The 25,841-nt window shown below is 42.3% G+C and overlaps 3 non-coding genes across 3 annotated transcripts; 2 read left to right on the forward strand and 1 right to left on the reverse strand.

Moving 5' to 3' along the window:
* The first annotated feature begins 1,800 nt into the window (after positions 1 to 1,800).
* On the forward strand, positions 1,801 to 1,874 carry TRI-AAT6-1 (tRNA-Ile (anticodon AAT) 6-1). The gene has a single exon. It is a non-coding gene; the product is annotated as a tRNA-Ile (tRNA).
* A 9,608-nt stretch (positions 1,875 to 11,482) lies between these two features.
* On the forward strand, positions 11,483 to 11,555 carry TRM-CAT4-3 (tRNA-Met (anticodon CAT) 4-3). Its single transcript has one exon. It is a non-coding gene; the product is annotated as a tRNA-Met (tRNA).
* A 4,773-nt stretch (positions 11,556 to 16,328) lies between these two features.
* Positions 16,329 to 16,401, reverse strand: TRNAA-AGC (transfer RNA alanine (anticodon AGC)). Its single transcript has one exon. It is a non-coding gene; the product is annotated as a tRNA-Ala (tRNA).
* Between the last annotated feature and the right edge of the window lie 9,440 nt (positions 16,402 to 25,841).

Below are 25,841 nucleotides of genomic sequence, written 5' to 3' on the forward strand. Positions count from 1 at the left end.
TCTCCGGAAAACCCAGAAAGTTACGTCGCCCAGGTACTCTCTTGTCATTCTCCGGGATGTAAAAGACTCAGGGTCTCTTCACGGATCACTGAAACCGCCTTCTCCGAGGCCTCCAGGGTGACTAAAGAGAGGGTGGGTGTTCTGTGTTCTCCCGCCGGTGTGTTCCTCTTCATGTCCAACCGCTTGTGTCTGTGCCCGCTAGGGTCTCGGGGGTTTTTATAGGCACAGGATGGGGGCGTGGCGGGCCAGGGTGGTCTTGGGAAATGCAACATTTGGGCGCGGAGGAAGAAGTGCCCCTCCTCACCTAGGTTCATGGGCACAGGCCCGGGGGTGGAGTCTTGCTCCCCTCCCGTATCAGTACCAGGGTTAGTGCTCTGCTTTATGGCCGCAGCAATCTCAGACACTTCCGAAGCGTGTTTTTTTTCTTGTTCCTTTTCGGGCGCCAGCTTTCAAACCAGACCAAAGGTGTGTGTTTTTCCCCGATTGTCTCCCAGCCTTCTTTCCTTTTCGCCTCTACTCAAGGCTGTGTCCACAATTAAGCTCTCAGGAGGAGGAGGCCTCCAGCTGCCTCAAAGAAGGGCATTTCTCGCAGTGCAAAGTGCGGAAGAGGGGAGCCATACCGACTGAAGTATTAACCAGAGTCGGTTTGCACAGAGGCGGCAATGGATAGAATTTCAGAAGTGAGGCGGAAAGACAGGCCAGCCCTGCGAAAGATGGATTGGAGAGAGGTGAGAATCTAGTTCAAAAGCCGGGAGAAGGAACAGGACATTAGCACAATAGTCTAGGCAGAGAGCTGGACCATCTGTAATACAGCAAGGGGGTTGGTTGAGACTTCTTTTATTTAATTATTCGAAACGTATCTATTGAGCTATTTATTAGTCCCTGGGTACTGTGGGTGTTCCTGCGTATTCAACCACCTTGTCGACGCTGCAGGATGCGGCCCCATTACCCAGGACCCAAAGAACTTCCAAAAATGAATCCCGAGGAACAGCTGTTTCTCTACTGGAGAAGTGGGCAGCCAGGCGGAAACACGCAGGGAAATAGTTCTCTTTGGGACAGAAGGCATCAACCTCGTAAGACCCAGCGATCAGCAGAGCTCCCGGAGAGTGTTTCTTAATCTAAAGGTCATGAGTCGGGCTGCAAAGTTGTCTTGTCGTGCGTAAAATACCAATGGACTTATACCTGTTTCATCGAGAAGGAATACAATGCGAACACAAAGACTGTAATGGAACGTATTTCTCTAAAGTGTCCTTTTCAGATAGAAATACGAGAGCGTTTTCCTGAGTTTTCTAAAAATGGGGTGGGGTAGGGATCAAATACTCACTTCTGGGAAACATGGGCTAATACAGTGGGAATCGTGCTGGAAGTTACGAGCAGAGGAGCCTGGGTGGGGACTTATATTGGCCTTGACGGCCCGTGGAAAGAAACTGGCGGTAATTCCTTCCGTTTTCCGTCAATTTCTTCACGGGTTGCTCAGAAGCTACGGAAGCAAAGTAGAAAGGAGTGAGAAGGGCAGGCCAAAGTACCGGCGGAAGGTGATGGCGTTGCGTTTAAAAGGGTGGTCACTGAAACCCCTTGTCATGAAACAGTGAAGCAGGTGACATTTGAACTTTCCTTCCTCAGAATTGTATTTTAATTGAAATGTCAGGGTTCGGAGAAATTTGCCGAGGATCATAAACAAGTTAGCAAAGATCGCAGGTTCTTTCCAGTTCCGAGAAGTTCAGAAAAGTTTCTTTGGTGATTGAAATAACGTTCGCCTTTAAACTTCTCAAGAGGTTTAGGGGGGGTTTTAGTAAGCGGGGCCGGTTAGCTCAGTTGGTTAGAGCGTGGTGCTAATAACGCTAAGGTCGCGGGTTCGATCCCCGTACTGGCCAGACGTGACTTTTTAATGTTCATCTTACAGTAACAGTTGTGTGCAGTGATATCAAAAGTCACGGGAGAACAAGAAAAGAAATTTAATAAATGGTGCTGGGAAAACTGGCTAGCCATATGGAGAAAGCTGAAACTGGATCCCTTCCTTACACCTTATACAAAAATCAATTCAAGATGGATTAAAGATTTAAACGTTAGACCTAAAACCATGAAAACCCTAGAAGAAAACCTAGGCATTACCATTCAGGACATAGGCATGGGCAAGGACTTCATGTCCAAAACACCAAAAGCAATGGCAACAAAAGACAAAATTGACAAATGGGATCTAATTAAACTAAAGAGCTTCTGCACAGCAAAAGAAACTACCATCACAGTGAACAGGCAACCTACAAAATGGGAGAAAATTTTCGCAACCTACTCATCTGACAAAGGGCTAATATCCAGAATCTACAATGAACTCAAACAAATTTACAATAAAAAAACAAACAACCCCATCAAAAAGTGGGCGAAGGACATGAACAGACACTTCTCAAAAGAAGACATTTATGCAGCCAAAAAACACATGAAAAAATGCTCATCATCACTGGCCATCAGAGAAATGGAAATCAAAACCACTATGAGATACCATCTCACACCAGTTAGAATGGCAATCATTAAAAAGTCAGGAAACAACAGGTGCTGGAGAGGATGTGGAGAAATAGGAACACTTTTACACTGTTGGTGGGACTGTAAACCAGTTCAACCATTGTGGAAGTCAGTGTGGCGATTCCTCAGGGATCTAGAACTAGAATTACCATTTGACCCAGCCATCCCATTACTGGGTATATACCCAAATGACTATAAATCATGCTGCTATAAAGACACATGCACACGTATGTTTATTGCGGCATTATTCACAATAGCAAAGACTTGGAACCAACCCAAATGTCCAACAATGATAGACTGGATTAAGAAAATGTGGCACATATACACCATGGAATACTATGCAGCCATAAAAAATGATGAGTTCATGTCCTTTGTAGGGACATGGATGAAATTGGAAATCATCATTCTCAGTAAACTATCGCAAGATCAAAAAACCAAACACCGCATATTCTCACTCATAGGTGGGAACTGAACAATGAGATCACATGGACACAGGAAGGGGAATATCACACTCTGGGGACTGTGGTGGGGTGGGGGGAGGGGGGAGGGATAGCATTGGGAGATATACCTAATGCTAGATGACGAGTTAGTGGGTGCAGCGCACCAGCATGGCACATGTATACATATGTAACCAACCTGCACAATGTGCACATGTACCCTAAAACTTAAAGTATAATAAAAAAAAAAGAAAAAAAAAGAAATGCATATGTACTCAGTAATCTACACAGACTTTTAATGCTTGTTTCACAGTAACAAACGTGTGCAGTGATACAGACAGTCACAAGAGAACACGAAAGTAAATGTATTTGTACCCAGTAATCTTGATGGGACATAGTTCGCTGAATCGTAGGGTTGCGTTTCCAGTTTAGTGTTCCTGCAAGAGCAGATGATGAGGAGAGGTGAGATTCCAGAAAGAAATTGAAATCCGGGAGGAACGTGAAAAACAGGCGAAAACACGGAAATAAGGACCTGGGCTTTTCATCCTTTTATGATTTCCAAAGTGTACAAATCTTTCTCTGTCGTGACTAACTCCTGATATGGGCTTTCCTAACTGCATCTGCTTACTTCCCGCAGACCTGTCCTTGGCTTGTGCAGGGTAAGTAAAGCCTCTCAAGAACTCCCATTTTTCATTTCTATTTCCTCCCTTTTAGCTTCCCACACTCAACTCGAGAGATACTGGAATTAAGGAAATGTCCCATAGAACGCTGAGCCTTTCACCTCCCCTTTGCTCGTCTCACGGCTTTGTTAGACACGAAACCATCTTCTGGAAAATGTCTTCCCTGACACCTCTCCTACTTTTCTGAGTTTGGGTTGCTTTCCTCCTAGCACTCACGGAGATCCAGGTAAGCATTTGTTTTAGCGGCATTCACCATGTCGGGATTGTCTGTTGCTTGGCCATCTTCTCCATGAGATCATAAGCTTCTTGGGGGTAGGATGCTTATTGCTAAATACTTTTAAAAGTCTGCATGAATCAATGAAGAGTGAGGGATATGTGTGCAGGCATGATGGAAAGAGTGTCTTGTGGTCCAAATGGGCTTCACGGGTCTGTAGAATCCATGCTATCGCAACATAGTGCATTTTGGTCAGATGAACAATAGGCTACACTATATGGTGATTGGTTCCATTTCGCTGAGGGTACCTCTAAGGCTCTGAGTGGCTCTATATGCCCCCAGGACTGGATAGTGGTAAAGGACAGAGCATGCGCAATAGATCCAAAGTCAGGCAAGGTCTGAAATGTTTAACTTTGCTGAGGCTGAGAGACAGGAATGAACCCTCTTCCGCGATGGGAATTTCTACTCCACTGATCCATAGTAAATAAAACAGCGAGCCAATGCACCTCAAACCTCTATTTTCTACTACATAAATGTGATTGGTTTTGACATTTTCAAAATTCAAGTGATCACAATGATTTAGAACTAATGTTTACAAAACTATAATTTAGGAAATCCTTAGCTGTAAGCAGACACACCTACACAGAATAAAGAGAGTGATATGCCCTTTACTTCAGTGTCATTTATAACACTGGGGTAATAATACTTGGGGAAGCTGAAAAACTATATTGACCGATTTACGTGAAAATTAAGAAACATTCAGTATAATTTCTGGCACATAGTCCTGAAAAAGTCCTTGTATGCGGAATATTGTTCACCTTTAAGGAAAATGCTTTAAAGGTCTGAGGAGAGATATTAATGCATTTCTGTTGCTACTGGCTGTTTTGCTCATGTAGTTGTAGCAACAAGCTTCTGTGAACATGAAAATGAAATAACGCTTAAAAAAACAAAATAGATGGTGGAGGAACACAATAGGGATGCATAGTAAGGTATGATTTTCTAGACAAAAATTGATTTGTACAAAAGAATGTAGTAAAGGATTTGTACCTGATTCTTTTTTGTATACCCTTTGAAGCTTATTTAGCTTATATTCGAAAGCCTCAATTGTCATCCTTCTCCCAACAAAACTGTTTCTCTGTACCACGAACATTCTGGTCAGATTCTCTGCTTAAGCATCTTGACGTCTTGAGCACTCATCTTCGTACTGAGACCCCGATATATGCCCAAATGATGCCCTTCCACAGGAGGGTTTCTTGCTTTGCTCAAAGAGCAATCAATTTTTCAAGCAATTTAGGGCTCTTTCCTCACCCAGTGTCTATGTGAAAACTTAGAGGGAAGGGAAGAACACATGCCTGTTCTTTCCAGGAAAAGAATCCTGATGGGTTCTAACCTCAACCTGTAAATCCACTAAGCAAGTTCCTACTGAACACCTATGATGCAAGCTCAATCCTGGAGGCCAGCACTCCACAGGGGGAAGGCAACCAAAGCAGTAGGTAAATGTTTACTGAGCACTTCTTTTTGATCAGATCCAACTCTAGGTGCTGGGATCCACCCAAAGAATCCCACAGTCCTTATTTCCCATGTACAGAAAGAAATTTGCAGTAGACTTTGTTACTGGAAAGCACTACTTGCTGTTTTTTTTGTTTTTTTTAACAAGTATTTTAGAGTCCCTTAATTAAACAGACCATATACCTTTCCTTATCTAGGAATTCCCACTCCATTGCGTGGTCCACACACCCATTATTTCTCCTCATCTTCATTCTTCAAGGCCCATTCTTGATTCTTTCATTCTTATTTGAAAGAATGTAGCATGGAGGAATGTAGCATACTAGTTTTTCCCTCGGAATTGCATGACTCATTGTCAGTAACTATCTTATGGTTTTTGCTGTTATGACATTTAGTATAGATGTGTGCTATCTTTCATTAATATCCTCCATCTTGTAGTCACTGTTTCCATAAGGAAGCGCAGCCAGTGTGAACTACAGTCCAAATCCTCACATATGCATAGACTGGTTATGTAGTCTAAAGAAATTCCTGGCTCTGAGTCCTAATTCTGAAGGTAGTGGTAAACTTCAGTCCTTTGGTGTCTTATTCACTTAGGTTCATGCCAAGCTTATGGGGCCCAATGCAGGTCCCAGGAAAAGGAGGGAGGGATGTAATGCTAAACCTGTTCCTATTTCTACCCGCCAGGTTTGTTGTTGTTGTTGTTTGTTTTTCAGGTGGAAGCTCAACAGCATCCATGCTATGGGTGATTGATGCTATGTTTCTCTAATGTTAGCAGTATCTTTTTCTAATGAACTCTCTCCTTGATGATCTCTTGTCATCTGTCTTGGTCAATGTCAGTAAGGGGTCTGCATGTAAAAATGCTCATAGGTACTTGAGATGTTCATCTTTTCCTCCTTGTTTGGGTGAATTGTTTCTTTCTTAATTCATTTATGCACGTGCACATACATGTATACATAAGTGTGCACATAGGTGCGCACGCACACGTGTAGATGCCTGTGCTTATATGTGTACATACACGTATGCATACACATATGCATTCTCGTGTACATACATGCACGAATGCTCGCATGCATGTTTAGGTACGTGTATACAAACCTGATACACAAATAAATACGTGTATAAATGTGTTGATGCATGTTTACATGAGTGTACATGCATGTTAACATACACGTATGCATCTACACATACACGTATACACACATACATGCACACATACATATTGTGCACACAATCAATGAATATGCACAAATGCATGCACACGCACACATGTATTTGTACACGTGCATGTGTGTACGTATGCGTGTGTGCAAACATGTATGAGTGTATATGTGTGTATGTACTTATAGGTGTATGTATACATTGCACAAACGTCTGAATGCATGTATGGGTACACATGTGCATTTGTATGCACAAGTACGTGCGTATGCACATTTATGTTTGTGTGCATGTATGCATCGTGCTTTTCACGCAAACATGTATGTATATATACATGTATTATGTGTGCATGTGTGCATGCACGTGCACGTGTGTATGCACATGCATGTATACCCACATATCCATGTACACATATATGTCATGCATGCATGTGTTTGCACACGAATTTTTGTGTGTGCACATGCATGTGTGCACACATGCGTGTTGTACACATGTATGTGTGGATATGCACACGTATGTATGGACACTTGTATTCAGGCATACACACGCCTTCACATGTGTGTGCACAGATGCATTTGTAGGCTGGTATACATGGTGTATACGTGTATGTATATATACATCATTCATACAAACATGTGCATACATGTGCACAATGCATACATTTATGCATACATGTGTGCATGCATGCATACACACATGCATACGCATGTGCATGCATGCATACACACATGCATACGCATGTACATGCATGCGTACACACGTGCATACACACGTACGTGGGTAAACACATACACATGTACACACATACATGCAGACGTGTGAGCACATGTCTATCTGCACATATATCTACACACATACATGCATGCATACTGTGTACACAATACATGGATACACCTACATCCATGCACACACACCCACATGCATTTGCACATACATGTTTACATATCTTTACACACTCACACATGCACACACGTGTACATACATGTATACATACACACGTGAATGTGCAGCTACGTGTGCACATGCAAGTACATGCATGTATGCATATGCATATGCGTCTGAAAATACACACATGCATACACACATACATACGGTGTACATGCATGTATACATAAACATGCATGCATGCATGTATACACATGTATGTGTAGATACCTTTGTGCATGTGTACATGCATGTATGCATACACATGCATGCACGTGTACCCACATACATTTACACATGCATGTGGTGTACACAGACATGTATACATAAACACAGGTGCAATCACTTCTACATACACACATGCACCTGTAGATACATGTGTACATGTTCTGTGTGGAAGACATGTAAAGGGAGAAGAAAAGACACCCACACAACACCTTTAAGGGTAAACAACCTTTATCCCACGTAAATGGCAATGCAGATATAATAAGCAAATGAAATAATAAGCAGACTGATATAATAAGCAAATTGCAATGGGAAGGAAAAAGACATATATATATATATATATATATATATATATATGTATATACATATATATGTACACTCACCAGACTATGGAGGATTCACCAACAGACCGGGAAGCAACAGCCTGGGCTCCAGAGTTGGCCAGCTGTCTGCGCACAGACGAGGAGAAGTCTCATGAAGCTTCAGCCCAGTCTGGAACCCTAGCTCTTTTTGTAACGAGTTGTTTGGCATGAGGCCCGGTCACGAGGGCCCTTCGCAACTGGGCTCAAGGATCACAAAAAGGTCAACTTGTTTTTGTGATTGTCTGTTGTTTTTCAGTAACTAATGTATAGGAATAGATTGAAATAGAGATTTCTCTGAAACAGCACTGGATGAACACCTCAATGGGTTCACAAACCTGTTCCAGACAGATTTCCCTCATGCTGTTCTCATGACAATGAGTGAGTTCTCCTGAGATCTGGTTGTTGAAAAGTGTGTAACACTTTCCCCTTTGCTCTTTCTCTCCGACTCTGCCATGGTAAGGCATGCTTGCTTCTCCTTCGCCTTCCGCCATGATTGTAAGTTTCTTGAGGCCTCCCAGCCATGCTTCCTATACAGCCTGTGGCACTGTGGGTCAATGAAACCTCTTTTCTTCATAAATTACCCAGTCTCCAGTAGTTCTTTATAGCAGTGTGACAATGGACTAATACAGGTGCCAACAAGTTCAATCACTGGCACCAAAATATGGGAGATACGGTAGTTAGATGCATGAGAAATGTAAAGGGGAGAAATGGGCAGATTGACTGCCTGAAGTTCCTTCTATATTGGGATTGGCCTGTAGTCCCAGGGCTTTTCAGGGACAACCAGATGTAGGCCTTTCCCACAAGACAGGTGTGGGAATCAGGAGAGAGGGAGCACTAGCATGAGGTCAACTTTGAGCCAGTCCCAGTGGGCTATGTGGAAGGATGAACGTAACTAAGGAAAAAGAAGCAAAAGGAAGCTTTGAGTTTTGCAGTGGCTGGAAAAGCAGTCATAAAGAAGGGGGTACAGGAGAGTACATCATCATCAAGGGAAATGCACACGAGAATCCACAATCATGGATCGTATTAAAAAAATTATTCGTATTCAAACAGCTGAATGGAAAGCATGACACTGGCTAATGACAACACCATTTAAAAGTAAGAACTTTATTATTCTCCCCACCACCCCTCCCTGGCTTTAACTCATCTTCCACCACGATTGAAACACGGAAGTCTCAGAACAGTGGTTAACAAATGGTAGAATGTTAGGGTAAGAAAAGAGAGATGAAACATTTTCCTTAGAAAACTATCCAAATAGTTTTAGCTGACTCAACAGGCCCAGTAGGTAAAGGAAGAGATCTGATCTTTATGTCAAGTTTAAATTTTAGAGTGTTACATGGAGCTCAGCATCTTAACTTTGAGACTGAGACTGTATTGCCTGGGATGAGGCATAAAACTGTGTATGTCTTCATATGGAGATAGGGAAAGAATATATCCTACTGAATAAGATTAAAATGACACTGGGAGACCAAAACATGTTTTTTGTATTATTAAATCCCAGAGATTGGCCACATTCATATTACAGAGTTTAGAGAGAACTAACTGATAAACTTACGTGGCTATCCCTTAATGAGTTTTGTTATTATTATGGTTTTTTCCTGTCTGCTTATGCATTATTATGATATCTATATTATGATTTTGTTATGCCAAGTAATGACATCTCAGGGATCTGTGAGGCAGTACCTCATTTGGTATTCTAACCACATTTGACAAGTACAAAAATGTACACACCTTAGTCTACTTTGTGTTGCTAAAAGGAACACCTGAGACTGCGTAATTTGCATGACAATGAGTCATGCAATTCCGAGGGAAAAACTAGTATGCTACATTCCTCCATGCTACATTCTTTCAAATAAGAATGAAAGAATCAAGAATGGGCCTTGAGGAATGGAGATGAGGAGAAATAATGGATGTGTGGACCAGGCACTGGAATGGGAATTCCTAGATAAGGAAAGGTATATGGTCTGTTTAATTAAGGGGCTTTAAAATACGTGTTAAAAAAAAAAAAAAGCAAGTAGTGTTTTCCAGTAACAAAGTCTACTGCAAATATGAGGGTGAAAATGTAAACAACTTTGAGCCTGTCATGGTGGAATTTTGTCCCGCCCCACCTGTCATCAAATTCATGTCGAAACCCTAACTCCCAATAGGAGTTCTTATAAGAAAAGATGGAAACATGTGTAGAGAGAGAGACCGTGGGAGAATATAGCAAGAAGGTAAGTGACCATCTGCGAGCCAAGGAGAGAGGCCTCAGGAGAAACCAAAGCTAACAACCCTTCTAGCCTCCAGAACTGAGAAAATTTTCTGTTGGTTAAGGCACTCAGTCTATGATATTTATTATGGCAGCCCTAGCAAACTAGTGCAGAATGGGAGTTACAGTATCAAAATAAAATATTTAGGAAGATGCATTTATAAGAATCCGGAAGTTTGAGAGTATAGGAACCGGACCAGATAGGACAGTTTGTCCTGTCAGCTCCTGAGGTCAGGGATGGCTCAATTTCCTCTGAATCCTCAAAGCCTTCGGGTAGCACAGTACCTGAAATGGAATGTGTCCTCGAGAATTATGTGGTGGGTCTGGGCACCGCACTTCGAGAACTAATGATTTAAGGTGTTTGTAGGGATGTGAGGGATAAAGGGCCAAGGATGCCTTGGAAATCTAGAGCATAAATGCCGGGTACATGGCAGGTGGTGAATTAAAGTTTGTTGAATGGACCAACGAATCTAAAATTCTATAGCTATTTGCTTAACAAATGAGTGTGGTGGTGTGGAGAGGAAAAGGGGAGATTACATGATCTAGAGGGAGAAAGAGGGCAGCACGCTTTTTGGAAAACAAAATCTGCTTTCAAGATCTGGTTTTGCCCCTTATCAGCTGTGGATTTAGTTCTGCTGAGCCTCAGTTTCATCAGTAAGATGGGGATAATGATGTATAGATTTATGGCAAATAAATAAATAAATAAATTGGACTAAATGAAATTACGGGAATAAAATCTTTAATAGGGTATTTGCAACATAGAGGTGAAGAAAACATGAAGACTCATCATAAAATCAGTTGGTGATATTTTGAGGGGACTATCTCAGGTGACATAAGTGGAAATGCAAATTTAAATTAAGAGAGGTAAGTGTAAACTGCAGGCATGTTTGGGAGCTTTTCATTCATTCAACTAGCATTTAGTGAGAGCCCGCTATTCCAACTAAGGAGACTGTGGACAGTAATTATTGCCTTATATCTCTGAGGGGACGAAGATCCAGATCAATAGAGAATGAGGTCAGGCATAATTGTTCAGTACACTATGGCTTCCGATTGTGAGGTTCTTCCGATGGGCTAAAAAGGAGCCTACGCGTGCCTATTGGAAATAATCTTGGAAAACTAGCGACCTTGGGCGAAGAAAACTGAAGTCCCAAAATAACCCGCCTGGGGAAAGAAATTAGGAAATTCCTGTGGAAGCTGGCGCGTTGATGCACTTCGTCGCCCTCTTAGCGCAGCGGGCAGCGCGTCAGTCTCATAATCTGAAGGTCCTGAGTTCGAGCCTCAGAGAGGGCAGCTTTTGCAAGTGAACGCTTACCTTCCCGGCACTTGTGATAGCTGTAACCCGTATTCCCTTTACAGCTGAGGTATAATTCCTTCTTTTCTGAAATATCAAGCAAGTGGAACCGTGTCGGGCCCAGAGCTTCTGTGGGTGCTCGTTTGACACGCGCTCCCGGCTCCGCGCAGTGGCTGTTTCCGGATGAGTCTGGAGACTCCGCCTGCAGTCCTGTGCTGGCTCCACCTTGGCAGGGATGGAGCTCAGGAATGTTGAGTGGTCCCGAAAAACCAGGTGGAACACAAGACTTCTAGTCCGGAAAAATCCCCCACATGCCTCAAATAGCCAATAGCGGGGTGGCGGGCTGGGGTTAGCGGAATTTGTAACCCGCTCACTTGGGAGGCAGCGGCCTGCAGGGTCCGCGTCCTCATCCTCCGGCTTTGCCCCTTTCTTCCCTCTGGGTGGGCAACAGTCGCTTCCCAGTTGATCATCTGAGAGCTGTACGCCTGGGTGTAGATGTCGAATACATTGATCTTCTTATTTTTATCTGTTTTTATTTTTATGGTACACAGACGACAGGGAATCATTGGGCATCTTTGAAGTATAAATAAATCAGGTCTGTTTTTCCCCAAACGGTTCCCACGGCAGGGGCTGGGGATACCTTGACCGACATCCAACAGACTCTATGTAGGCAATGAGGGAAAACCAAGGAGCGACGAGGGGCGGGAACTCCGAGCAGGTGCTCAAAGACGAAGAAAATCTGTGCTGGGCTGGGGTGGTCACTTTCTTCTCAGAGATGCAGAGTGCTACACGGCGAGTGGGAGGGTGGGCTCCCACTCCCTGTTACAGGAGCCGCTTGGAACTGGGGATTCAACCTGGGAAACAAGGAAAGCCGATGACGCGAACCTAGAGAAGCTAAGAAGAGAAGCTAGAAGCATGAACGAGAGAATTTTGGGGAATAGATCCGGGCTTGGAGAGGAGACTGCGAAGCGCCAGTCAGCCTAAGGAAGGTTCTGATACCCAGTGGAATTTATAGAAAATGATTTCGGAAAGAGAGAAAGAAAGAAAGAGAGTGGTGGGCAGTCTGTCCTTAACGAGGCGTTATGTCCGCCTGCCAAGGATCCCACCGTCACTGGTCCTGAATCTATATTTCATCTGTAACGCCAGTCCTGAACAATAGTCTCAGAAATCCTTCAAACTCATGTGCCACACACAGAACCCGAGACAGTTTTTTCTCTTTTGTTACAGAGGCTCCTTGAGAGAGAAATGAATATACAAAAATGTCTCAGCAGAAAGTACTGAAAAGCCATCCCACCCCATCCATTCTCAGAGACTAAAATCAAGCTAGTCAGAGGAAGGGGTTTACAAAGCAGGACTGCACTGTGGGACAATCCCTGCATTTTGGCTCTCCCTCACACCCTCTTCAAATTGAGCCCAAGCCCCACATTCTGAGGATGATACTCAGGACGTGAGGGGGCTCTGAAAAAGGGCTGATCCCTCCGCAAACTCAGGGTGATGCACACAGCCAGGAGGAAATGAGAAAATTATCACAATTCTTTCAGATTCACAAATGCCATGTTCCCTTTGTTTTAAGGCCACGAAGGTCAAGTAAGGACCCAAATAACTACCAAACATCTCAGAGAACGCTTTGGGCAAGAGTGCGGAGACAATCAATTGCATTGTTCCCATTACAGTTTGCAGTTATTAATTTCATGGAAGAGAGCACGTCACACCGGGGGCAAGACACAGTAGGAACTGCCAGATTAAGTAGCACAGATATCCCGGAATGTTCTGCGGCTCTTTGTATTTTAAGGAAGTTTTGATTACTGACTGACTGTTGACGAGTCAACAGTTGATGAGGAGGAGGTTTTGGGGCTGGCCATTCCAGGCTCCACGTTCACACCACGGCACCACCATTCCTAGGGTGTCTAGACATGTACACTTGCAAAAACCATGTATATAGAGAAAATGATTTTATTTATATGTGAGAGCACTTTTAAGTTTGAAACTTTCAATAAAGACTTTTTTTTTTTTTTTTTTTTTTTTTGAGAGTGCAGTGGTGCGATGTCGATCCACTGTAACCTCCACCTTCCAGGTTCAAGCGATTCTCCTGCCTCAGCCTCCCGAGTAGCTGGGATTACAGGCGTGCGCTACCACGTCCAGCTAATTTTGTATTTTTAGTAGAGACGGGGTTTCGCCATGTTGGCCAGGCTGGTCTCAAACTCCTGGCCTCCAGTGATTCGCCCCGCCCCCGCCTCGGCCTCCCACCGAGCCTGGCCTAATAAGCACTTTTTTTAAGTTTTATCATTTTAATTAAATATTTCAGGCTTTAAATAGGAAAGGGAATGAGATAATTTTTGTTCGTTTTTCCAGGTTGCTGAACAAAATAATTACCAGAAAGAAATCAACATTTAGCTTTAATTTTTGATGCTACAAGACCCCTCTGGAGACAGTGTTCACGCAGTATCTGGAGAGTGTTGTTTAGGCTCCTGCTTCCTCACGCAGTCCCCTCCAACAATGCTGTTGGTCCATTGTGCTTCCCACTGTCCTTAGTCCATCTCATCCATGAATAGGCCATCAGCTCCCCCAGACCAGCAGCGGTGGGCTTTCCTTTGAAATCTGGAGGGTCTGGAGGGCTGCGCAAACTTCCCTTGACTTAGTTATCTCAGAGCATTGTGATGGAAAAGAAACATCCCATGCAAGTGGACAGCACTAGGTTGTGAACTGGAAGGAAGGTGGGAAAGGAGAGATACCCATTACGCATTTCACTTTCTTGAACTCAGCAGCAGAGAGAATGATGAAATCAATAGCTTGAGAGAACTAGGAAATTTTAGGGCCATGTTTGCATGTGTGTATGTACTTGTTGTTAACAAATTGGTAATAGATCATAAATATGATCTAATATTAACTTTTTTTTCTGATTGTCACCCATACAAAAAAAATTTCTCTTAATGGCTGATTATAAATAATAAAGTAAAATCTACAGATTTTTATGTTTTTTAAGACTCTTTTCATCCATAAAAGGTCCCTGGTCTTTCTTTTATGGATATTATTTTTTAAAATTGATAGACATTATTTTTTAGAGAAGTTCTGGGTTTAAAGAAAAATTGACCAGAATAGATAGAATTTCCATAAACTCCATCACTCTACCTCTCTTACAATTTTCCCTATTATTAACATCTTGCATCAGTATGGTACACTTGTTACAACTGGTAAACCAGTAATTACTAATACATTATTGTTAACTGAAGTCCACAGTTTACATTACAGTTTGCTCTTTGTGTTATACATCCTGGGTTTTTTTTTTTTTAACAAATGTATAATGACATATATTTACCATTATAGTATCATAAAGAGTTAATGCCAGTTAGTTGTTGAAGGAACTGGGCCTTTTATCCTTAGAAACACCTCTATGTTGTATTTATTTCATTGTATCTATTTCCTGCCCCTTGACATGTTTCTTCACCTACTCTATTTCTTGTAAACTGGTAGTTACAAGTAGAGGCTCACTTAGATTCAGCTTCAAATCTTTTAACAAGACAATTTGATAGGTGGGCTTGTGCACTTTCCATTGCTTCGCTTTATGAGGTACATAATGTCTGGTTCTCCAACTTTTAGTCACCAATATTAGCACTAATGTGTGGTTCAGCTGCCATTCATAAATACATGTATATATAACTCGTATACTTATGTGAATGTACATATTTATGTGTTGATAAACAAAATGATACACAAAAATTAGAAAATAACATTGAAAGAATGAACGTAAAAGTAAACAAGAAGAGATTAACTCTCGAATGCACAGTTTAGAAAAGAATCAAAAGTATATCTTCGAGCTCCTTAGAATATAATGAAAATGGGGACTTAAAATGACATATTTCTAAGGACTCTGTAGAAACTGCTTTCTCATTTTAAATTACACCTTTTAATACCCAAGTTACAAAACATTAGAAGAAATCAGTGCATTAAATATAAGAAGGAAGAAGAAGAAGAAGAAGAAGAAGAAGAAGAAGAAGAAGAAGAAGAAGAAGAAGAAGAAGAAGAAGAAGCCCGAAAAAAAAAAAGAAAAAGAAAAAAAAAAAGAAAATAGAATGGTGAAGGAAACACAGGAATTAACTAGAAAATTGCAAAATCTGATTGGTCATTTGAAAAAGAAGTGTAAAATGGTCAGCCAAATGTAAAATAATAATAATAATAAGGGGATATGGAGAAAGCACAAAGAAAAACCAAAAACATTAGTGAATGCTATTATTAAGATTTGAGAAATGTGGCAGGATAATGTTTTTAAGTATTGCTCTGTCTTTGATCTCCCTGTTTCCTTATCTGTTCAAGGCAGTAACCGTATTTTACAGAACCTTAACTCTACGCATGGGGATGAAGCGAGTTGAACACAGTGTACATAGACAGCGTTTCGGTACTCAGGAAGCTCCCACTCTAGGGGAGAGAAAAACAAACCAGTAACTTAAAGACATACTTTCTGGAGGAGACGATATTTGTGAAGATGTAGTAGGAATTGAGAGATCGTGTGGGCATCACTTTTAGCTGTACTTGTCTAAAGACGGGAAATTTGCATTGAGACCTGAGTAGCTAGAAGTGCCAAACCTGTGGCAGGAGTGGAAAACATGGGAGGATGGAAGCAGGGGCAACAAGACTCTTACATGGGGAGCAGTAAAACACGAGATCGGGGGAGGGGGCAGGTTCCTCTGATCTTCTCCCAGGTAAGAAGCACCGCCGTTGTCAACAGGAGAAAGAAGCGGGTATACAAACCAAGAGACATAAACCGGACAAGGAACTGGAGAATGCGGGCGTCGATCCCGCTACCTCTCGCATGCTAAGCGAGCGCTCTACCGCCTGAGCTAATTCCCCACTGAGGATACACCACCCCCCACCCATTTTCCTGGTTATCAGGAGCCTGCCGGTACTTTGGGCCGCCAAATCCCTGGCAGGACAAGATTGAGGGCGGAGCTTCTCAGATACTGCCTTGGGCAAAGTTCTACGAGCCTGAGAGTGTGAAGAATACGGATTTCCAAAATAGGTCATGAGGGAGACCTCTCTCCTCACTTCTCAATTTCGCCTTCTTCATCTCTCGGAAGTAGAGAGCACGTTCCAGTTGGAGAAGCACCACCCGGAACTGCCTGGCTTGCGGGCACAGCTATTGCAGCCCGCTCTAGAGCTGTGATCCTCACCTGCTCCCTGCAGGCAAGGCCGCCCGGAAGTAGTGGGGCAGCTTCTCCCAGCCCCAGAACTTCACGCCATACGCGCCGCATCTTCAATAGCACTTTCCTCCTGTAGGACTCAGAAAGTGATGGAGAACCTTGGAGGAGTTGAGAAAGAGAAAGCTTGAGAATTTTCATCTCAATCTGTGGATTCATTCCTGAAGCACTTCTTCAGCACCAGGCACAGTGGATGAGGCCAGTGATCCACATAGAAAGTGCCACAACAATAGCAAGTAATAGTACTGTGCAATTGCCGTCTAGACCCTATTTTAGATGCTGTACACATATTAATAGTAATGCAGGTAAAATGCCTAGAAATAGTTTATAATCTTCATTTTTTATATGAAAAATTATGGAAAATTGTCACCACAGAGCTCAGGGATCTCTCAGCCAAAAGGAAAAACAGATGCAGGCTATACCGTGTCTGCTGTGTAGGTGCTTCTCCTGCCATTTCCCTTCCCTGTCACCTTCCTCCCCCCTTCTCTTGCTCCATTGGGCACCACACTTGTCCTTCTTATGCCTGTCTAGTTCTTCAATTCCCGGGCCCACAGAAGAAGGCTTCCCCTGTAGCCCAGGGGAGGCTACATTAGCTCCACTGCCTTGGAGTTGTAGTGGATTCCAAATCTGCTTTCCACCTGTGAAGAATTCTCATTTAAGACAGGAACATAGTTATTTTACTCTGAGTATAACTAGCGTCAAGTAGGATTTTTGCCTGATGAAAATTTGCTGAATGGAGAAAGGCTATACAGATAATTTAGAAGCCTCAAAGGAGAGAGTGGCTTCAGATCAGTAAAGACTGAAGAAAGGATTAGAAGCTAGGGTCTAACAAACCCATAGAAATGTTTTTGCCTGAAAAGGAAATGTGGTTGGGGAAGAGTGGAGGGGCACTACTTTCAGAGTGATTAGTGGGTGGAGGCATGGCCTTCATGGAACTGCAGGTGGTTTGGGGCAGCTTCAGGTCCCTCCTTCACGGTCCCAGTTTATTAGGAGTGCACATCCTGAGAAGGAAAGAGGCTGCTCCTATGGGACAAAAATTCAACAACATGTTTATTATTTATGACATTCATTTTTGAGATCATTTATGAATAAGAAGATAAAATAGAAAAACATGTAATCAATAACATTGTCTTTCTATTACGATTAACAAAGGGCAATGCTGAGAAGTCAAATGGTGTCAGAGAGAGATTTGAGTGATGGGAAAGAAAGAAGGATGGAAAGAGGGGCACGTCCCAGGGACCTACAAGAGCTTCCTGGAGTCATCTATCCAAAGACCACTCTCTCCAGCATTCTGAGCTCTGCTTGGGCCAGTTGAGCTAGTCAACATATGTGTTGTTAATACAGCGCCTCATGTAGTTTCTTTAAATAGGGGATAGTGTTGCAATTTCAAAAATACATTTTTTTACGTTTTGGTTCATCTTGGAAATTAGAGGAAGACCTAGGTCCCCATTTATTTTGAGCACATTTTTGTCAGAACGAGCTTTCAGAGAGATGAATAGAAGGAATAAATGTCACTTTTCTTAGTGAGAGTGTATCCGACCACTAGAGTTAATATGCTAGCTCCCACCTTCACTTATACTCCTTCCTTACCTCTCTCCTTACCTCTCTTACCTACACAGGAGAGAGGTAAGGAAGGAGTATAAGTGAAGGTGGGAGCCTGGCCAACTCTCAGATAATCTGGTAGAAGACACGTTTTCATCCTCTACCTGACCATGTGTTGTCAATGTGAATAAAAGCAAAAGGTTGGCACATTCAAGTCTCCTGCTTTTGCCTCCTGACACTATTTCCAGGCTGTTCCTCATATTTTGTACCCAAAAGGCTAAAGTTTGATTTCCCCACAAAAATACATTGTATTAACTTCGAGCTGAAGCCCCAAAACCTGTATTGGCAAAACTCACTTGTGACTAATCGCTTCCTTTTTTGCTTTTGCATGGAATGCTATGTATAATTTCCTTAAAAAAAAAATGTACATAACAAGATGAAACTGAGTCAAATAAAGAGCGGTAAATCCGCTGAAAGTATTTACCAGATACCATTGGTAGCCTAGGGATTAAAAGAAGCTGGAGAGTGCAGGCGTCGATCCTGCTACCTCTTGCATGCTAAGCAAGCGCTCTACCGCTTGAGCCAATTCCCCCACACCGCATTTGTCTTTTCTGCCTGTTTTGATAACCGGGACACAAATATCGTTCCATGTCCCACTTAAGTTTCCAGCTTTTCAAACACCTCCGGGAACTTCCCTACCAAGGCGAAGCGAGGAATGAAGTTTCTGGGAGACAGCCTCAGACCTGGAAGGCAGTGACCATCCTCTGCTTTTTCAATCTGAGTCGGGATCCTGAGAAAGAGAGAAAAGATCTCATTAGGAAAGCACTAGTTCTAATCTGATTTCACTCTCCCATTAGATGAAAGAGAAGGAAGTACCGTCCCTAATTAGCAGTTACCTCAAATGCTCTGTTGAATGCATCACTTTTTAAGAACACAAACCTGGAAATAAGCCCAAGTATCTTTTTATCGATTGATCCTTCAAGTAACTTATCTAGTATCTGTGTTACTAATTGTTTCTCCATTCAGGGGAGTTGAGATCTGTTGTTACCTATTAATCCTTGATAGATTTAATTTGCATTTTTGTACTGATTAATGTTGTTGAACATCTTTTAGTGTGCCTTATTGGCCATATAAGCATCTTATTTTGTGAAATGCCTGCTCAAGTTTTTTGCCCTTATCCTTACTGAGTGTTTGTATCACTGAGTTCTAAAATGTGTTCTATATTCTCCATAAAAGTCCTTTGTTATATGTGTATCCATAACACATATGTTGTATAACAACTATGTGTGCATATAACATATATTACATTTCTTTTCAAGTCTATGTCTTGCCTTTTCATTTTCTTAATATTGTCTTTCAAAGAAAAAGCATTTTAATATTTTATGAAATCCAGTGTATCTTTTTTTGTAAGGGCTCATGCTTTTCTGGTTCCTTCTGAAAAAGCTTTGCCTACATCAGATATGTGCAGACTTCTTTTCTTCTACAAGTTTGATAACTTTAACGTGAAGCTTTACGTATATAAACCATTTTGATTTAATTGTTGTATAGGATGTGAGTTAAGGGTAGGGAATCATTTTTTCCATACTCAGTTGCCTGGGACCATTTGTTTAAAAAACTCATTAAATAACATTTTACCTCTGTCATAAATCAGTTGACCACATACGTTGGTCTGTTTCTGGACTATCTGTTCTATTCCGTCAATCTGGGTAAGTATCCTTGAGACAATACCACATTATTTTGATTACCTTAGCTTTATAATAAGTCTTGACATCACCTGGTGTAAGTCCTCTAACTTTGTTTTTCTTTTCCTAATTATTTAGGTTACTCTAGGTCCTACAGAATAAGCTTGTCAATTTCTGTAAAAACAAACAAACAAAAAGAAAAGAAAACAAAACAAACAAAACAAAAATCTCCTGCTGGGATATTTGTTGGGATTGTAGTAAATCTATAGATCAACTCAGAGGGAAAAAAATGATATCTTAATAATATTACCTTTTTCAATCTGTAAATATGTCAAACAACACCAATTAGTCAAGCTTTCCTGAGTTTTTCTCAGCCATCTTTTGTAGATTCCTAGGTACAAGTCCTGTGCACACTGACAAGTTTATCTCTAAATATTTCATTTGTTTTAAACCTATTGAAAGTGGTAATTTAATTTTCCATTTTTTTGATGCTAGTACATAGAAATACAATTAATTTTTGTATACTGTAATCTGTGACATAGCTGCATTTACTTATAATGCTTATTTTTGTGGATACACTAGGATTTTTTGTGTATCTGATCATGTTGCTTGCAAACGAATATATTTTTCTTATTCTAAAGTGAGTATGCCATTTATTCTTCATTCATGCGTTCCTTACTTTCTGACACTAGCTAGGACTTTCAGTAAAATGTAGAAGTAGTAAGGACAGATATTTTGCACTTTTCTCCAATATTAAAGGGTACATATTTATTCTTCCACTATTAACTCTATTGCTAGTTGTAGGACTTTCTTAAACGCCCATTATTCATCTGAGGAATTTTCCTTCTATTCTTAGCTTACTGGGATATTTTTTAAACACCACGAATGAATGGCAAATTTGGTCCAATATTTCTTCTGCATCTAGTGAGATGATTACATGTATTTTTTGTTTTGTTAATGTGGTATATTACATTTAATTGACTTTTCAATGCCTAACTAATTTTTTATTCCCGAGGCAATCTCCCCTAACTCATGGTGCATTATGCTTTACAGATAATGCTGGATTCAATTTGTTAATATTTTAATTCAGTATCTGTTGGTAAATGTGTCAGAGAAGGGTCTCCAAGTGTGGAACGCGCCGCTTTCACAGCTCAGAGAAACATGGTGAGCACAGTGCTCCCTTCTAAGTGACGGGAGCTTCGAGATACAACAATGAGACTTTACTTTGGAGGAAATGTCTCAGAATTTCACAGATCCTAAAAACTTTCATTCACGAACCAGGTCGATGAATGGTTTCTGTGTTTCTCTCCCACCCTCTGGAGCATGCAGGGCTTAACAAAATCTGCAACTTACTTGACACTTCTTGCTCATCGAAGATTTAAATGATACTATCAATACAGTGTACCAATGTTTTGCTGTTGGTGCAGACAGTTCAATTCTCTTTGGACTAGATTAGGAAAAATTGGGGGACTTGGTATACCTCTGGAGTAAGAACATAAATGCATACTTTTGTCTAGTCCATGTGAATATGAACTGTTTCTGTTCTTTCTTCCTGATAACAATAGAAAAAATGCATTCCCCAAATCAAAGACTGCATGCCAAAGACCTTGCAATTTTTGCTTTTATGTTCATATTGTTTATAACATGATTAATTTATTAACTTTACATTCCAATTCTATTTTCTTATGTATTCAAGTGAAAAGTGTTAATTATGAGAAATTCTGCACTATGGCACTGCTAATATTGCAATCTATATCCCAGACTTCGTTTTACCGACAGAAGAAAGCATACCCTCATCAATTTGTCATGTCTTCGGAAGAAGGGACATGGGTTTGTAGTGGAATTCATGACTTTTTCTGCCTGAACATTAATTAGCAGAAGCATGCTCCATTTCTTTATATAGACCCACTCTTAGAACCAAGGTGAACTGAGTGAAAAAGATACTTGCCTTTATATTTCTCTTATCAAACTAACCATTCTTGAATCTACCTTTATCACTTTTCTCCCAGGACCTCCTAGTGGAAGAAACTGTGAAAATGGCTGGTGTCACTTCAGACGCAAAAGGAAAAGTGGCACATCATGTTCAGAATCCGATTAAATAGTGTCAGCAATTATTACCTCTGCTTAAAGGATTCAGAGCTGAGTTTGTTCAGCTACCCTGCCCTGACTAATGGCATCATGCAGGTGTACTTAGAAGTAAATTTAAAACTCCCCCTTACTTTAGGATCACACATCTCCTAGGGTAATTGCAGGAGTGATTGGGAAAGAGCAGTCTACTCTGAGGAGGTCAGATGGAGACCAAGTGAATCCTGTAAAATACAAGTAGTGTCATATGACAAAAATGCAAATCCAACACTACTAAGTCTTGGATTTCTTCTTTGTTTCCTTGATTAATTTTCTTGCTTCGCTCCAAAAATCATAGCATAAAGCAAATTATTGTTCTACCTATTGCTTTCCACTTTACTCATCTTTCATCTGGTGTCTGTGTGATTATGTCTCCATTAGAGACTGAGACCTGTTATTACCTATTAAATCCCTTCATTCCAGGATGTGGAACTAATTAGATAAGTTTCAGATTGTTGAATTTAGTGGTTATTTTAGAGGTAATTAGATCGTTAAATTTAACACTTGTAGCTCCACATGATGATGGAGTGCAAATATCTATTTATTCATAAATATCCATAGGCAGGGATCAGAACCAACATTGAGAAGACCCACTCCCTCCAAACAAGACGACCAAGAAAACAAATTGATTCTACTACCTTGGATTTATTAAACTTGCTGAGCAAAGAGCCGTACCTCTATGGAGTCCCAGTACTGCCTAAAACAAGGGTGAGTCAGAGACCAGAATTTAAAGGGTCTGGGGACTGGAGCTATTCATAGGACACTTTTAGGGGGAAGGTTAGTAAGGTCCTTCTCAGGAGGGACTGGACAGAATTTCTTTTTCTTTTTCTTTTCTTTTCTTTTCTTTTCTTTTTTTTTTTTTTTTTTTTTTTTTGAGACGGAGTCTTGCTCTGTCGTCCCGGCTAGAGTGCAGTGGCGCGATCTCGGCTCACTGCAAGCTCCGCCTCCCGAGTTCACGCCATTCTCCTGCCTCAGCCTCCCGAGTAGCTGGGACTACAGGCGCCCGCCACCACGCCCGGCTAATTTTTTTTGTATCTTTAGTAGAGACGGAGTTTCACCGTGTTAGCCAGGATGGTCTCGGTCTCCTGACCTTGTGATCCGCCCGCCTCGGCCTCCGAAAGTGCTGGGATTACAGACGTGAGCCACCGCGCACGGCCAGAATTTCTAAACTAGGCGAATCATAGGTTTATTCAGTGGAACTTAGCTGCTGGAACATGAAGATCTGCGCAGAGTTGCTGGATCCGTTTGGCTTTGGTCTTATCTTGGATCATCGGGTCTGAGTAAGCTGGTGTTAAAACAATTTGAGCTTAGTGTGGTATGGCAGGGTTTGTAGACTCGTCCTGTGCTGTAAGTCACAGGGCTTTTGCAACTTCTGTGTTTGTTCATTTCTCAATTTGCCCTCTTTCCTCACCAACAGAACTGCCCAAGAAATCAACTTACAGTATAGCTACTGGAACTTAGCTCCGAAAAGGTCCTCTGCAAATCTAGAACACTTGTTTTTTTTTGTTTTTTTTTTTTTTTTTCCAAATAAGAAAGTTGAAGAGCAAAACGACGTGTCTAACGTCACACATTGAGCTTTAAAGACAGATGGGATCTGGCATGCGTTTGTCAGTTAACAGTGCTAGCACAAATACAACTCTTGTTAAAATCGTAAGGATTTTATGTCGTGAGACACTCAGGACTCACCTGATCTCGGTGTTCAGTTGTGCGTAGTTTTTGATTTGCGCCTCGCCCTTGGGCAAGTGCAGAATCCTGGGGTTATACAAAGCTCATCACAGTTAACCCCTTTGTCCCAGTCCGCAGAATGAGAGCTCAGAGCCCGGCCATGGGAGGCTCGGTTATATAGGCAGGAAAATCAAGGAACCCAGGTATGAGCAGGGGCGTTTGTGGCGCGGAGAGAGCTCCTATCCCTGCCGTCCATCTACGTCTCAGGCTTGGCCCCTGGCGTGCAGAAAACCGCATCTCCCGAAATCCCAGAACGTAAACGTCACCCAGGTACTCGCTCTCTTGTCATTCTCCGGGATGTAACAGACTCGGGGTCTCTTCACGGATCACCGAAACCGCCTTCTCCGAGGCCTCCAGGGTGACTAAAGAGAGGGTGGGTGTTCTGTGTTCTCCCGCCGGTGTGTTCCTCTTCACGTCCAGCCGCTTGTGTCCGTGCCCGCTAGGGTCTCGGGAGTTTTTATAGGCACAGGATGGGGGCGTGGCGGGCCAGGGTGGTCTTGGGAAATGCAACATTTGGCCGCGGAGGAAGGAGTGCCCGTCCTCACCTAGATCCATGGGCACAGGCCCGGCGGCGGAGCCCTGCTCCCCTCCCTTATCAGTACCGCGGTTAGTGCTCTGCTTTATGGCCGCAGCAATCTCAGACACTTTCGGAGCGTGTTTTTTTTTCTTGTCCTTTCGCTCCCCTTTTCGGGCGCCAGCTTTCAAACCAGACCAAAGGTGTGCTTTTCCCCCATTATCTCCCAGCCTTCTTTCCTTTTCGCCTCTACTCAAGACTGTGTCCACAATTAAGCTCTCAGGAGGAGGAGGCCTCCAGCTGCCTCAAGGAAGGGCATTTCTCGCAGTGCAAAGTGCGGAAGAGGGGAGCCATACCGACTGAAGTATTAACCAGAGTCGGTTTGCATAGAGGCTGCAATGGATAGAATTTCAGAAGTGAGGCGGAAAGACAGGCCAGCCCTGCGAAAGATGGATTGGAGAGAGGTGAGAATCTAGTTCAAAAGCCGGGAGAAGGAACAGGACATTAGCACAATAGTCTAGGCAGAGAGCTGGACCACCTGTAATACGGCAAGGGGGTTGGTTGAGATTTCCTTTATTCAGTTATTCGAAATGTATCTATTGAGCTATTTATTAGTCCCTGGGTACTGTGGGTGTTCCTGCGTATTCAACCACCTTGTCGACGCTGCAGGATGCGGCCCCATTACCCAGGACCCAAAGAACTTCCAAAAATGAATCCCGAGGAACAGCTGTTTCTCTACTGGAGAAGTGGGCAGCCAGGCGGAAACACGCAGGGAAATAGTTCTCTTTGGGACAGAAGGCATCAACCTCGTAAGACCCAGCGATCAGCAGAGCTCCCGGAGAGTGTTTCTTAATCTAAAGGTCATGAGTCGGGCTGCAAAGTTGTCTTGTCGTGCGTAAAATACCAATGGACTTATACCTGTTTCATCGAGAAGGAATACAATGCGAACACAAAGACTGTAATGGAACGTATTTCTCTAAAGTGTCCTTTTCAGATAGAAATACGAGAGCGTTTTCCTGAGTTTTCTAAAAATGGGGTGGGGTAGGGATCAAATACTCACTTCTGGGAAACATGGGCGAATTCAGTGGGAATCGTGCTAGAAGTTACGAGCAGAGGAGCCTGGGTGGGGACTTATACTGGCCTTGACGGCCCGTGGAAAGGAACTGGCGGCAATTCCTTCCGTTTTCCGTCAATTTCTTCACGGGTCGCTCAGAAGCTACGGAAGCAAAGTAGAAAGGAGTGATAGGGACAGGCCACAGTACCGGCGGACGGTGATGGCGTTGCGTTTAAAAGGGTGGTCACTGAAACCCTTTGTCGTGAAACACTGAAGCAGGTGACATTTGAACTTTCCTTCCGCAGAATTGTATTTTAACTGAAATTTCCAGGTTAGAAGAAATTTGCCGAGGATCGTAACCAAGTTAGCAAAGATCGTAGGTTCTTTCCAACTCCAAGAACTTCAGAAAAGTTTCTTTGGTGATTGGAATAACGTTCGCCTTTAAACTTCTC

Source organism: Homo sapiens, chromosome 6 (assembly GCF_000001405.40).
Source record: "Homo sapiens chromosome 6, GRCh38.p14 Primary Assembly".
Taxonomy (NCBI): domain Eukaryota; kingdom Metazoa; phylum Chordata; class Mammalia; order Primates; family Hominidae; genus Homo; species Homo sapiens.